Below are 15,815 nucleotides of genomic sequence, written 5' to 3'. Positions count from 1 at the left end.
TAATCAATTCATTTCACAGCAATCCTATGCAGCTGTTACTTTTATTATCCTCGTTTTTATGGCACAGAGAGGTTAAATAACTTTCCCAAGATCTCAGCTAGAAAGTGACAGAGCCAAAATTAACCTATGCAGGCTAACTCCAAAGCCCATGCTTTTACCACTCTGCTGCCTGCCGTATAGCAAATGCTTAACAAATGGTGATGGTGATGATGGTGATGAAGTGGGTGCCACATTGAGGATAAGAAGGGATGGTCCTTCTCTTAAGGAATCTCATGATTTAATAAGGAAACCAGAGTCATGTCTACTAGGAAGTAAACCTAGAAAGCAGGTAACAGAAAAGCAGGAAAAAGTGATTATGATAACAATGGCTAAAGTTTATTGAGCTTACTATATATCAGGCACCATTCCAACTACTTTACATATATTAAGACATGTAATGCTCACCACAACCTTGCACACAAAGTGTATGCAGAGCAAAAGTGGGGTCAAGAAGAGGAAGGAAAAGGGGGCTCAACAAGGGATAAGATGAGCCAGGGCCTCCAGGCTCGTGTTTGCCTTCATCCCCCTTCCCCTGAGCCCTGACCACACTCCCTCTGCCCCCTCCTGCCCTCTACCAGGCACACGTCCTTCAAGCGCCACCTGCCAAGGCAGATGCATGTCTCCAGTGTAGACTATGGCAATGAGCTTCCACCAGCAGCAGAGCAGCCCACCAGCATTGGCCGCATCAAGCCTGAGCTCTACAAGCAGAAGTCGGTGGATGGGGAGGATGCCAAGTCTGAGGCCACCAAGAGCTGCGGGAAGATCAACTTCAGCCTACGCTACGATTACGAGACCGAGACCCTGATTGTGCGTATCCTGAAGGCTTTTGACCTCCCTGCCAAGGACTTTTGTGGAAGCTCTGACCCTTATGTCAAGATCTACCTCCTGCCTGACCGCAAATGCAAGCTGCAGACCCGGGTGCACCGCAAGACCCTGAACCCCACCTTTGATGAGAACTTCCACTTCCCTGTGCCCTATGAGGAGCTGGCTGACCGCAAGCTGCATCTCAGTGTCTTCGACTTTGACCGCTTCTCCCGCCATGACATGATTGGCGAGGTCATCCTGGACAACCTCTTTGAGGCCTCTGACCTGTCTCGGGAAACCTCCATCTGGAAGGATATCCAATATGCCACAAGTGTAAGTACAGCCCTGTTCCTTGGCTTCTTGAGGATTTGTGGTTCTGGGTTGGGTGGGACATGTCCCCAAACCCTCACTTCCTAGAGACAAATGGGCCTTTGCCATTTGGGATGTGAAGAGGGACTCTGGAAACTGCCCAGTGGCCCAGTCTACCCTTGCACTCTGCCCCAGGTTGGGATGGCAGAGAGCAGAGTCCCCATGTAGCTAGGAAGGGAAGGGAATTTTTATCTGTGGCTTCTGGTTGCATGTTCTGGGGTGGTTCTTTCTACTGAGAGTACTGATGTGCATTAGAAACTTGGCATAGGCAATTGAAACAGGCCATATCAATCAGACTGAACTAGGCTATGCTGCAGCAGCAAACAGTCCGAGGATTTTGTGGCTTTAGACAACCAAAGTTTATGCCTTGTTCATGTTTCATGTGCTTTGCAGCTGGACTGGGGACTCTGCTCCACCTTGTTACCTGGGGACCCAAGCCAACAGAGGCTGCATTTAGACACGGGCCCCCACAGTTAAACATCAGGAGGAAGAGGAAGTGGCAAATCACGCACTGTTTATTAAAACTTCCACGCAGAAGTGACACATGTCACTTCCACTCCCATTAGAACAAGACACGCGGTAACTCCTAATATCAAGGGAGAAGGGGCAAAGTAATCCTACCGAGTGCCCAGAAGGAGAGCTGGACATATGTAATGAACAGCACGAATGACGACACACAGCAGAGTCCCTTTGCTTGGGCATTGTTTTCCCAGTCAGGTATGGGAGATGGGGGAGGCCAGCCCAAAAGGAGACCTGACTAACACCTACACAGGAGGTGGGTGCTGGGCTGTTTGCAACCAGCTGGAATTAATCAGGGAAGGTTTCAAGGAGCTGGGGCTCAAGTTGGCTTTTAAGAGAAGGGAGCACAGGTTTGGCACAGAGAACTGGAGAGGACACATCTGGAGCCCTTCGGTCTGGCATAGCCCTTCGCTCCAGTCCCCTGGGTTGAGGAAGCTGTGTAGCTGCATCCTGCAGGTATAGCTAGTGTCCTCTCTCTAAGCACCCCCAGGCAGCTGAGAGCTCAGTGGGGGCATTCCCTCCAAGCTCCAGTGGCCTTGCATCTGCTCTCTTGAGTGCTAACAGGTTGAGGGGCAACCTGGATATTTCCTCCACTATATCTCTGAGGAGGGGCAACCCCACTCTGTCTGCAGACTCCCGCTTGGATAGTCAATACTCAATATCTCTGTGTTGAGCCTGTGAAGAGAGGGGCTGGGAAAATCAGCCCTGCTCTGGTGTGCAAAGGGCATAAATCTTGTTTTGTTCAAAGAGAGAAAGCTTAGTGGGCTCTGCTTACACCCCAGGAAGGGTCTGGGGGACACGCCATTCTCATAGCTTGTGCTGACTTTGACCAGTCCAGCCCAATGGCTCAGTACCTCCCCCACCTTTGCTTTCCTGAAATGTCATCCCTAAGAAGAACATAAGTAGCCGGCTGGCCAGCAGGCAGACGGGGCGAGCAGACAGGGCGGATTGGAACAGCAGCTCTGTGGCAGCCCCAGGCCCGAGCGCTCCACTCCATAAATCACTCTGAAGTTTACATTTGGTGCAGCTCTTCCCTGTGGTCTCCTTAGGCTGTGGCTTCATTATGGTAACTGGACAGGTAGAGAAAAGCAGCTCAGTCCTCCTCACAGTGAGGTTGCCACCCAGGGAGAGGGGTGAGGGCCAGGGGCTGCAGGAAGCAGAGCTCAGCCCAGCCCTTCTAGGAGCCTCCTTTGCTCCTTGCCAGAGCCCACCATCTGGTGTCTTTGGCTCCAGGCATGAATGGAAGCCTCATGCCTGGGGCAGGCAGTCTGTGCCCAAGCACACTCCTCACCTGGATGCACCTTTCCATATCCAAGAACCCCGTGGCTGTCCTGCCCTTGTCCCATCCCCACTTCCCCCACCTGGCTTCTGAAAAGGGCAGATCAACCAAAGAGCATAGGACAAATCACCATCATCCTCATCATCCTCAACTAGTATCATTATAGCCCTCCTCCATCTCCTCCTCCTAAGAACACTGTGCCAGGCATGGGGTTGAGGGTGGGGCTGGGGTAGAAAACAGCTTCTTTGACCCACAGAAACTTGTCATGTAATTACAGAGACAGGAAAAGTCCATGCAGTAGCTGGTAGTGCAAAGCAGCAAATACGATCCTCTGGGTATGGTTGCAGGATCCTTAGAGTTAGGACAGCTGGTGAAGGTCTCCTTGATGAGGAGAACTAAATCAGGTGGGGAAGGACAGTTATAAATAACTCGACAGGACAAGAGGAAGGGGGAGCATTCCAGCCAGTTGCAGAGGGAGTCCAGGTGCAGGAGTTTCCCAAGCTGCAGAGCCCCACCCATGCTCAGACAGCCTGTCTTACCGTCTGTCTGAGCTGGATGTTCCTTCTCAAGTGAGTCCCCTGCCACCCTCCAACCCACAGCCCCACCAGCAGGTAGAGTTCTCAGGAGCAGGCTCATCACCCTGCCAGGTAAGGACTCAAGCAAAAGAGGGGGAAGAGGTGCGAGAAGGCTGATGCTTGTACCTATATGTGGTGCTGTCAAATTTTAATTATTTGGGGGCCAAGGAGACCCAAGTCATCACAGTCACCAGGAATGACAGAGCACTAAGCATATATGAATTCCCATACCAGCACAATGGGGGACAGTACTGATGAGATGAGCGCAGCCAACAGCCAGCTCCCATCTCTCCCATGTGTCTGATTCCATTCCCAGAGCTGCCCTTTGGACCTGAGCTCAGGAATCTGGCAGCTTCTGAAAAACACCTGACATTTCTGCCTCTTGCCTTTGCCAACAAGGTTCTCCATGTCAGGCAGATCTGTTCCCACCTCTCTGCCTGGTGCAAACCAATCCACCTTTCAGAGCCTACCTGCCGTCATCCTCCATGTGGCCTCCTGGTCTCACAGCAGCTGCCTCTCCCGTGTGTTCTCTGTATCCCCGAGTTATATCCTGAGTCATATTCTATCTTGTAAAGTCCTCCCAATGGCTCAGGAATGGCTTGTGACCCACATTTGACTTTCTCTTGTATTTTCCCTCAGGGCTGAGTGTAAGAACCCAGTACTTTCTTGTTAAATGACCAGTGGCTTACTTAATTCAATTAAAACTATATATGGGTACCCAAGGAAAAGACTATTAAAGAAGCAGTTGGAATTGAATGGGGTTAACCTGGGAAGGCTTCTTGGAGGAGAAGCAGCTCAAGTAGTATTTAGAAAATGGCTTAGAGCCAGGCTTGGTGGGGAGAGACCCAGCCTGTGCATGTGTTCAGAGGTGAATGGGATGGTTTGTGTCTGGGGTAACCAGCCCGATCAGGTAGTCTGGACCAAAGCAGAGAGCCTGTGACCCGCATGCTGAGCAGAAGGAAAGGCACCGTGAGAAAGGGGACTTGGAGGTTGCTCTGTGCTCACCAAAGTGATGTGAATGCTGCCTGTGTTGCTCCTTGAGTTTGTGCAGGAGAGTCGGATTCGGCCCTGGCAGGTGGCACCAGGCAGGTCCCTTGTTCCCACCCCCACCCTGGTGCTTGACTTGAAGTACCAAAGCCTGAAACATTTGCATTGTTTTCTCACAGCCACAGAACCCTGAGCTCAAGGCTAGTGGAGGGGAGGTACACATCCGAGGAGTCTAGCTCTTTGTTAATTGCAAATCTTAAGCCTCAAGGGACACTCACCTCCCCAGCCCAGATTGTTCCAGAGGGAAGTCTGGGCAGCACAGCAGCTAACATGCCCCACTGGCTGGAGAGCCAGAGCAAACCGGGCCTGCAGGGCAGTCGGAGGCCTCGTGCATTGCATGGAATTAAGAAACTCAGGCCTAGGATGGAAATTTTGGGAGTTCACTGCACCCATTCCAGCCCTGGGAAGCACTGCCCTGCTGTTTCCCCCATCTCTCCTTCTGCCTGGCTTGCCCAAGGGCCCCTGATAGTCTCCTGGGCATTCCCAGAGGTTTGCCACTGTCTCTCCAACCAGAGCTTCAATTGGCTAAGATCACCATGCTCTTCCCTCCTAGCATCTTCTGCCCCCAGTCTCATTATTTCTAAATAAAGCTGTAGATTTATCATTATAATAGAGCTGCCGTCACCCGGGTTTGCTAACATCTCTAATCTTGTAGTTATTGCTACAGAGGACTCAGACCCCACCGCACACAACTATTCCTGTCGCTATTCCCTCTCCTTCACTGTGGCAGGAGACAAAGGCTGTAACTGGGGCCATAAATATGTGCTGTGCTTGGTAATGCTAATGGATTCGGCCATCTTCCTGCCTTACCAGGTCCCTACTAGTTTAGAGTATGCGTGTGTGTGTGTGCATGTGTGTTGTTTTTGGACTAGGATAGAGTGTGTGTGTGCATGCATGTGTATGTGCGTGGGCATGCATTTGTGTGTGTGTGTGTTTTAGGGGTGATGAAGTGTTCCATATACTTCCAGAGAGCCTGGACTGAGGGTATGCAGGGAGGAAGGGAGGCCTTAAATGGTAGAATAGCCTCTGGCTTGGAAATGAGCAGAGTTGTGCAGAAGGAGTGCAGGCTTTATTGTCAACCCAACCTGAATTGCATTCTAGCTTCCTTACTTTCTAGCTTTAAAACCTTGGGACATTATCTAAACTGTGCCTCAGGTTTGACATCAGCAAGATGGGGATTAATAATGGCTTCTAGTCCTATTGTTATTATATGTAGTAAATGAAACAGAGTACACAGCCACCCAGGACAGCACTGTCACAGAGCAGCTTGCTGAGCCCTATTCCTCTGGTGCCCTTCCTGCTGGCTTAGCCCATGTGTCACTTCTGTACCACTCCCAGGCCTGACCTTCCCCTTCAGTCCAGGTCATCTGTTCTGACTGGTTGTTGGACATTATTATTCATTTTTTATTTCTTGTCTTGGCTATGCCATGTGTTTTCTGTGTGACCTTGAAAAAGTGACTTTCCATCTCTGGGCTGCATTTTCCTCAGTATTAAACCATCTCTAGAATCCTGTAATTCTCAGCTTCTCCCATGGAGAAGTTCTTGGCTCTCATGCTTTCACAGAACAGAGCTACCCATTCTCCGGGAGTGTGGTCTCCACAGCAGAGGCCGAAACCCCACAGTGATAAGCCACTGGGCAGAATTTCCAGACATCCCCACTCTTTCCTTAAATATCAAAGAGTCAGGCCTCTCTTCAAGCCCGTGGGGAATGTCCTCTAGGAGGTTTCTGCCACAGGGGAGGCCCCATCAACAACCCTTCCTCCTCTTTTTCCCATGAGCCACATTCCTATGCTGGCACTCAGCTCCCTCCCTTCCATCTCCTTTCTGATCCCCATTTACTGGGATGCGCTGGTCATTACTTATTGAGCTCCTGCTAGCTGCCAAGGGCACAACCTGCTTTGCCATGTTTCATCCTCACCACAACACTTATGGTCATCCCCCATATGTAAATAAACAAACGAAGGTTTGAGGTTAGGTGACTTACCCATTGTCACCCAAACAGAAATAATAAAGCCAAGATTTGAACTCATGATCCTTGCACCGCCAGAGGGAAGCATGGTTACATTGTTTCTTGGGACAGAAAATAAACACTGAAATTGTGCAGCTCATCAGGGGATCCAGAAGAGTGTTTTGTTCTGTTTTTTCTTTGTGGACTTGTTAGGTTCTCTCACTCATCTCAAAATCTGGTCATTTCTGGGAGTGGGTTTGGTGCTGACATTGGATTCCTTTACCCTTTCCCCCATTTCCTTTCTGTGAGCAGTGGGTTTGACATTGTTTCTTTTTAGTTTAATAGCTATTCATTGAATGCTGACTATGTGCCGGTCAGTGCATCATTGGGCACTTGTTGAATGCAGAGCCATGGGCTGGGCTATGGAAAGGAAGGTAAAGCAAGAGCCCTCCATATCAGGGTGCCCAGGCTGACAAGGACTGTAGGGGATGCCCTGTGCCCCCAAGTCCCCAAGCCCCTCATACACAAGGCACACACCTGGGGACAGACCAGTTCAGGATGCTTACAACACAATTATGCAAGCTGCTGCACTGCAAGAGATGTGCAGAAGTGTTAGGAGACATGAAGAAAAGAAATCAGAGTCAGATGAGATTGCTCTAGAAAAGCTGCTTCTAGAAAAGAAAAGTTTTAGGCCAGGCTATGTTGATGACAGTGAAGGACAGAGCATGATAAAAGAGGAAGTCAGAGGAGGGCGAGTATGTTCCTCTGTTCTCTTTGGACTTGGGGAAGGATCTAGAGAGATTTTCTCTCACATAAGATTGGGTTTCTTTTCTTTGTATAATAACTACTTGCAGAGTAATTACTATGTACCAGGCACCAGGCTGGGAATATGACTTCAACTCCAGTCCTGCCCTCAAGACCTCGCAGTCTGATGGGGGAGGCAGGAAACCAGTTCTGCTGTCTTGGGGACATGCAGGTCCCTCACTGGCCCAGCATGTTGGGGGAAGGCAGGCCTCCTGAAATGAAATTGCTTGCTTGCTTGAAAAAAATTTCAGTTGCATCCTCTTCTCACGCCCACACACTCAAGTCGAATGAGATCCCAGAGTGGCCACAAAAGGCTTTTTCAAGTAGAGCCAAAGAATCAGCTAATTGATCCACTGTGACTCATTAAATCACCCGGGGGTGAAGCCTCCCAAAGCCTCATTGACTAGCAGTTTGAGACAACGCCTTCGAAGTGTCCATCTTGGATCTCAGGTTTCTAGGTCTGTCCTGGGCAGGAGTAAGAGGTAAGCATATTGAATCTTCATCCACTAAGCAGGTCTTCAACGAGCCCTCAAAGAACATACTTGGGTCCTAGAACAACTAACTGGGTATTGAAGGGGCAAACATAGTCCTTGCTTTCAAGGAACTCACAGTTGAACAGAGGTTTCAGAGCAAGTAAAAAGCTAATGAAAGGAACACAATTATTTACATTACATTAAAAGGAAAAAGGGGAGATGGAGGTGAGTATTGAAGCGAGGAGAGTGAGTGAGTGGGATGAGGGATACAGATGGCAGAAGGAGAATTCAGGAACAAGAACCGAGCTTTGGGGAACGCCCACAGCCAGGATGAAGGAGAAAGAGGGTCAGGCAGCAAAGAGCACCTAGCAGGAGGAGATCAAGAGAAAGGAAAAAGAGGAAGTCAAAGGAGGAATCACTCGGGAATTATTCATTCAGCAATGACCTGTTTGAGCATCTGCTAAGTGCCAAGCATGGTCCTAGATGCTGAGGATGCAGCAGTCAACAAAGTCCCTGCTCTTGTGGAGCTTATGCTCTAGTGGAAGAAGGCAAATGACTAAGATAAATAGTATGTCTGAGAGTCATAAATGGCATGGAGAAGATGAAGCAGGGAAATGTGATAGGAAAGTTGGGTTGGGGAGGGTGGGTTGAAGGGAGGACAGCAGGGCAAAACAGGGTGGGCAGGGGAGACCTCCCTGAGAGGGTGCCCTTTGAGTAGACCTGAAATATGGGAGAGAACCCTGCAGATATTTGCAGGAAGAGAGGTCCAGGCAGAGAGAAAAGACCCTGCAGTGGGATGGCATCTGGCATGATCAAAGAACAGGAAAGAGGCCAGGCACAGTGGCTCACTCCTGTACTCCTAGCACTTCGGGAGGCCGAGGCAGGAGGATTATGTGAGGCCAGGATTTTGAGACCAGCCCCTGGCAAAACAAGGAGACCTCGTCTCTACAAAAAATTAAAAAAAAAAAAAAAAAACAGGTGTGGTGGTGCATGCCTGTAATCCCAGCAACTCAGAGGCTGAGGTGGGACAATCGCTTGAGCCTGGGAGATCAAGGCTGCAGTGAGCCATGATTACACCACTGCACTGTGATCCATCAGACTGGCCAACAGAGCAAGACTCTGTCAAGAAAGAAAGAAAAAGAAAGAAAGAAAGAAAGAAAAAGAAAGAAAGAGAAAGAAAGAAAGAAAGAAAGAAAGGAAAGAAAGAAAGAAAGAAAGAAAGAAAGAAAGAAAGAAAGAAAGAAAGAAAAGAAAGAAAAAAAGACAGAAAAAAAAGAAAGAAAGAAAGAGAAAAACAAAGAACAGCAAGAGGACCAGTGAGTGTGGCAGAAGCAGAAACAGGGCTGGGGAGGGGAAAGAGTGAAAGATGAAGTGGGAGAGGTAAGAGGCGGGAGAGGTAAGAGGCGGGAGAGGTTAATATGGTTCCACAACCAAAAGTTTAAAAGGATCACTGCAGCTGATGGGCGGGGACTAGACTACTGTACACAGTCAGAGGAAAGGCAGGAAGTCAGTGGGGATGTGATTGTCTTAAAAAAGAGATGAAAATAGGTTGAACAAATATGGTGGTAGATATGTAAGATGTGGCTAGTCTCTGAATATATTTTGAAAGCACAGCCAGCAGTATTTGATGACAGACTGGGTGGAGGGTCTAAGGTGTAGAGAAAGAGAAGAATCAAGATTTTCAGTCCGAGCAACTTGGGATGCTGAGTTGGGAAATCTTGGAGGAAGAACCCATATGGGGAGGAAGATTAGGAGCTCAGATTTGGACATGTCATATTTGAGATACCTTTTGGACATCCAAGTGGCGATGCTACATAGGAAGCTGGATATAAAGTCTGGAGTCCAGGAGTGAGGTCTTGGCTAAAGAAACAGATTTTGGAGATGTCGGCATATAAATGGTGTCAAGAGGCATGAAACTAATTGAGATCCCAGTGGAATAAGTTTAGATAGAAAAGAGGAAAGGAACAGGATTTAACCATGAGGTACTCTAACAATTTATGTGGGGCTATGAAGAAAACCCAGCAAAGGAGACTAACAGCAGGGAAAAGAGGAAAGCCAGGAGGGTACAGTGTCTCAGGAAACAAAGGAAGTGTTTCCAGAGGATGGGGGTAAGGCTCAGCTGTATTAGATGCTATGACCAATCAAGTAAGATGCAGACTGAGAACTGGCCAGTTTGTTCAGCATCAAGGAGCTTATCATCGGCCTTGACAAGGGCCGCTTTGGTGGAACCCGAGTGGGGAAGATCAACTGTGGAACGGGGACACGGGCCGTGTTATTCTGGGGGAATTTTCTGGAGGGTGCAACTCTTGAAATGGGTTTTTAAAGGTCTAGGAGGGTTGGTTTGGCAGTATGCCAAGAGGCTGGTTCCATATATGGGCCATAGCTTAGGGAAAAGTTGGGGCTGGGACAGGGAGGTAGAGTGAGCAGCCCTGACTGAGAGCAACTCAGAGCAATTCAGGCCAAGACTACCCTTTCCATCAGAAATTTGCAGAAAGGCTCAGTATCCCTAGTATTCTGCCTTAAATTCCCAAGTGTCTGGACTCCCGCATGCAGGTCCAAGCCAGGATGGAAGCAGAGAGGGAGAGTTTTCTGAAAGAGGCCAGCAGGGCAAATCAGGGTTACACGGAAGCCCCAGTGGGTGTAAAGGTGTGCCTGAGTCTGGGGGCCTGGGTGGCCTGCCCAAACCCATGAAGACTGCTCCCCAGGCCAAACCATGCAGCCGGAGCACTCTGAATAATGCATGAAGATGGCCAGTCCTGTGGCCCTCTTTGAGCAGTCCAAGTGAGCCCAGCAGTGGCCCTCCCAGCTGCCTGGCCCCCACCCACCTGAGTCAGAAGCCACCGGGTCCTTGGTAGGGCTGCAAGGCTCCCTTGTGTGTTTGCTGCTCAACGGGAGCTGTGCAGCTCCCCGGTTGTCTTTGCTGGATGTTCATTTGCCCCCATGCTCCCCTGGGCCTGGTCTCATCATCCTTGTTATTCTCTGGCACCCCCTCCCTTGGGCCAATCGCTGGAAATGTCCAGTGCATCCTACTCACAGTTTATTCCTTCCACTCCTGCCAATGCAGAGATGGGTGGGACCTCTCCTTTGTACCTCTCACCAAAGAGGGGAGGAGGTGAAGAGCTTGGTTGCCTCCCTGGAAGGATTTCTTGGTCAGATGGGAACATCAAGCAAGGAGCAGCTTTTCCTGCTCCAGAATAGTAACAGCAGCCCTAACCTCAGACCTCATGTCCTATAGTGACTAGGAGGAAATTGGGGGTTGGAGGGTGCAGGGAGGGGTCCCTCCATGCTCAAAGCTCAGATCCTGAGAATGTGCCTCACTGTGTCCAGCCCCAGGTTCTAAAGCCAACAGGACCTTGACTTTTCTGGGACTGCCCAAGGGGCCAAGGCTCCTCTAGAGAAGGATTGCTGAAAATCCACCAAGAACCCAGAAAGGAAAGAGGAGAGGTGTGGGTTCCACCCTCCATCCCACGGGCAGCCTTCACTAGGGCCTCCATGGTCAATCCAGGAGTCAAGTCACACACTCCCACAGCTGAGCAGCAGCAGGCCCCTTCCACCACAGGTGAGGACTCCAAGTCCACAAACTGTTCCTGCTGCAGAGGTGACCCTTCCACACACTCTCACTTGAGCCAAAATTAGGACCTGTAGCTGTTCTTGGCTCCAGGGGGCTAAAGGTTTCCCATGTGATGCTGGAAAACAAAGCTAATGGTCCAGACAGGGCTCTGACCTGCAGTAAGCAGAGCTACTCAGCTCTGCTGGCCTTGGGTGTTCTTATTTAAGTTGTTTCTAAACTTGGCCTTTCACAAAAGATCCTTCTCTGCTGCTTCAGAAGAAATGGCCTTACAAAGCTGCCAGAGGCCCAGACAGTGGAGACAGTTCCACTTTCACTCTTGATGAGTTCCCTAGCCTCCAGACAGCCCCATTGCCCACTCAGGCCAGCTTCCTGTAGGGTACGGCTCTCACTGGCAACCAGACCGCAGCCCTGTCTTCCCTCCCTCCCTCTGCTCGCAGCCTGCTTCAGCACAGAGCTGGTGGGCAAGCCGAACCTGCCCCCGGCCAAATGTGCCCCTCATTAGTATGCTGTGCCTTTGGATGGAATAAATATCTAATCTTTCCCTTACAAGAGGATGAATGGGAAATCATTAGGCAACAAGCTCATGCATCAACAAAAAGCGATTTCTCCAACACAGATGTACTTCCCGTTGCTTCCCCCCACCTTGCTCCCAGAGCATATGCACTTGCTTAGTGCTTCCACCACCTAATAGCACACAGTGACATTTTCTCCTGGAGAGAGACTATTTGGTCGCAAGGAAAGCAACAGCCAAACATCCCCTCTGGGCACTGTCACAGACTTTTGAACTCCAGGATTCATCCAGGAGGAAGGGAATGCAGTTTCCTAGATCAGCAGCAATTCAGAGAGACTAGGGTCATGGGGTGTAACTATGACCAGAATAGCAACCAACTTGGGAGAATTGGAGCAGTCCCTGAGGGACTTCACATTTTCCCGCGGACCATGGTGTTATGACTCCATATTTTCATGGACTTGGGGGTGGTCAGAGCTAGAAAGAGCCTCGGAGATGACCTGGCTCAACCTCCTCCTGCCATAGATGAGCAATTTCAGACCAAAGAAGTCTCACACCTTGCTTGGGGTGGTTGGGAGTCAATGCAAATCTGGGCTCCAAATCAGGTCTCATGAGACCCAGCCCATGCCCTTCCTAGTCTCTGGGTTTTTATAGGAAATTCTCTTGCCTTGTTTTCACTCTTTCCTTCCCAGGCCCCTGCCCACTCACTGCCTTCATCCTGTGCCTGTGAGCCTCTCTATACTGTAGGGAAGAGGTGAAAGACAGAATTTGGAGTTAAAGGCATTAAATGTCAAAGGGCACAGAGCAAAGACCCCCTCCCCTCTCCCAAAAGTTAGTCTTTTCCATGCAAGGAAGATCTAAGACCAGAAATAGGCAAACCAACAAGCAACATCAGCAGGAAAACCAAGGAAAAAAGAGGCCGTTTATCAAAGTGTTTTGATCCTGAGCCAATTAACCCCCACCCAAAATCTCCCCATGGTACATAAATATTTCTACCTTAGAGGAGGAAGGAGACAAGGTGAGCTGTAGAGTATAGGTCAGCCTTGTCCAGTTGCTATCATATGTTTATGGTGTTTTAGTGTCAGCAGCAACACAGAAAAATTTGGTCTCTACAGCAGCCATCCTCCCCCTCCCTCCAGCCCCCACGCCACTGCCAACCCCGAGCCCATCTGGCCCTCATTCATCCTCATCAGCCATCCACTGTAGCCACATTTTCCTCTCATGTCTGAATTGACACCTACTCATTCTCCATGAATATTTAATATCTTCCTTTCTGGATAAAGTCCCTGAGACCTTGAGGGCCTCTCTAGGGCTGCACTGAAATCTGAGTAGAGAGCTTTCCATGAAGTCCACTTGGCCTTGGGATGAGGGAATTAGAGAGACAGCCCCTGGGACAGGATGAGCCACAGCAAGATGTTCATCCATGTCTGGCCAGCACAGGCTGGCATTGCCCTCCATCTTGATGGCCTGAAAAACACCAATAATTGCTTCAAAAGACTGTCATTTTAGAGTCCTACCCTGCTGATCGTCTGGATTTGACACAACTTGGAGTTCACCAACATCCTCGACCATGGGTCGGGTTTCCCTAGGAGATATTTTATGTTTTCTTCACAAAACCTGTGTCTGATGCACTTGAGGTGGGAGGGAACAGAGGTGAGATCAGGAATGGGTGCAAAAACAGGCCTCAGATGACAATTTATGTGCAGAATTCCAACTGCACGTTAAGCAGGGTGTCCACCAGAGCTTCTTGGCCTCCTGTGTGCCAGGCTGTAAGTGCATTGTTTATTCATTCCTCACCCCTGCCTTGCAGGGTAGGTACTGGTGTTATCCCCAGTTTCCAGATGAAGCAACTCAGGCAATCTGCTCAAGGTCACCAGGCCAGTGAGCGGCAGTCCACCTGGGCCAGCCGGTTGCATGTGCTCCGAGCCCTCCCCCATGTTGCCACTCAGGAACTGGCTAACAGGGGCTCTCTCCATGCGTCCTGCCTCTTCCTGGGTTGGGGAGAGCATATATGATCATAGTCCCTTCTGCCACCAACGTTCCACCTCTTCTGAAATGTCATCCTCCTCTTGGTCTCCGATGGCTCTTCCTTCATTGACCCAGTCATGGAACACGGGTCTAGCTCCACCACACTCCAAGCAACACAAAGTGAGGAGCAGCACTTAACTGAAGGTCTGTTGTGATGGAAAGTGCCACTTCCCAGTGGCACAGCAGACTGCTGGTGGGCACCTGCCCCCAGCTCCCCACCACTCCCATCATTCTATCGTCTTCCCTCTCCCTTCCCCACAAGTTCTAGGCCTCAAATCCAAACCACCACCACACGTCCCTCTTTAAATTGCCTGACTTCTGTCCAGCCCCAGCCCCATCCCCAGGTGTAGCTCAGTTCCGGCCCCATCTTCTCACATTTAAAACCCAACAAGATTTCTAACTGAATAACTGGCCATCATTTCCAGGAGCAGTGGGGACCCTAAGATTGTTATATTGCCTTTACCAGGCTCCACCCTCCATAGAAGGTTTTTGTGGTTTCAAATGGCATTTGCTTTCTCTGTTTCCTAAGAATTGCTATGGCCATTGGCATTTCTGTGGGGCTTGTAAAGCCATTTTCCTATATATGCAGAGAGAGGCCCCTCCTTAGGGCTTGGGTGGAGTTGCCACCTGAGATAGGAAGGGGGAAGCCACTTCTATCTCAACCCTCCCAGTTCTGCAAGTCTCCTGAGAATGAACCAGTCCTTCCATTCAAAATGAGAAGGAGGCCCCAGCCGGATGGGGTCTCAGCCAGAAAAGAGACAGAGTGTTAGAGGTAAATGTCCATAAAACAGAGGATGCCACTCCACAGGGACAGGCAGAGGGCTGCCAGGGAAAGAGCCGGGGAGGGGCCTGTGCAAGTGTCCTGGCCACCTGGGGCTGGAGACCCTGAGGCAGTGTTGTTTGCTTTGTCTGTGGTTATTTCCTTTTGCTCACCCTTAGTATTTGAAGAAGTTCTTTTTTATATTACCAGGCTCTTTCAGGGATGTGATGGGAACCAGGAGCAGGGTTGGGTCTACACTTGAGTTGGAGCTTTAAAGAGAATGCAGGGACAGAACATGAAGGAGCACCTAGAACCAGAAAGAAAACCCAAAAGGAAAGACGGAGAATGTGCAGGGGGAGAGACAGAGGGTCCAGCTTCAGCCACCCTGGCCACCTGCCAGCCTTCTCCAGGGCTCCTCTCTGCTGCCCCCAAAAGGCTTTGCACTTTGTTTGAATAAAAGAGGTCACTGCTTTGTAGAAGGAGAGGGGAGAGGACAGCCCCTTGAGCCACCCCTGCACCCACATGCATGGGAACAGCACTGGCCTGGGGCTCTTTCCCAGGGTGAGTCCATCCCTCCTCGAGCCTTTGGTTGACTCACATCTCTGTAGTGACACATTGGACCATGTGCTAGGAACAGTCCAACTTCCAGAGAGAAAAAAACAGCTCTGGTGGTGTGTCATGACAACATGATAAGCATTTCCCTTCTTGAGAAGTTGGGGACAGGGCTAGCTTTGTGACTTGAGGCACCTGCTTGAAAATGCCTCCTCCACATTGTCAGAGCCATCTCCAGCTGAGTCACTCCTGCAGGGCCCTGTGAGACACTGCCGGGAGCCCTGCCCAGCCCCTCACAGGATCAATACATCAGAGGAACTAGCTGAAAGTCAGCTGGAAGCAAAAAGGCAGGAAGGAGGGCACGCGGAACAGCCAAGCTCAGAGTGCCTCGCGGGCCCCGGAGAAAAGGAGGTGTGAGTCAGGATTCTAATGCTGACAAGCTGTGCTGGGCGGGCAGGGCCCGGACAGGCATTTTGAAAGTAGGGGATTAGGGCTCAAGGTGACTTTGATGGGGAAAATTTTGAGAACCAACCTTTCTT

The 15,815-nt window shown here is 50.0% G+C and overlaps 1 protein-coding gene across 9 annotated transcripts in view, besides 1 other annotated feature; it reads left to right on the top strand.

The window, feature by feature from the left end:
* SYT6 (synaptotagmin 6) overlaps positions 1-15,815 on the top strand; it is a 64,578-nt gene that overhangs the window by 15,199 nt on the left and 33,564 nt on the right. For all 9 annotated transcript variants that reach the window (NM_001366226.1, NM_001270805.2, NM_001366225.1 and 6 more), the window contains exon 3: positions 618-1,176. In NM_001366226.1, the coding sequence (NP_001353155.1) occupies positions 618-1,176 (559 nt within the window). The remainder of the gene's footprint in view (positions 1-617; positions 1,177-15,815) is intronic.
* Positions 13,485-14,272: an enhancer, noted in NCBI's record as "H3K4me1 hESC enhancer chr1:114667021-114667808 (GRCh37/hg19 assembly coordinates)". NCBI's record gives its function as "activates a minimal SCP1, AML or CMV promoter by ChIP-STARR-seq in primed H9 embryonic stem cells {active_cell/tissue: H9 hESC(primed)}" and the evidence as "EXISTENCE:reporter gene assay evidence [ECO:0000049][PMID:30033119]".

The sequence above is a fragment of the Homo sapiens genome, chromosome 1, assembly GCF_000001405.40.
Source record: "Homo sapiens chromosome 1, GRCh38.p14 Primary Assembly".
NCBI classification, from domain to species: domain Eukaryota; kingdom Metazoa; phylum Chordata; class Mammalia; order Primates; family Hominidae; genus Homo; species Homo sapiens.
Note: the sequence above shows the minus strand (reverse complement) of the source record. Positions and strands in the feature narration are given on the sequence as shown.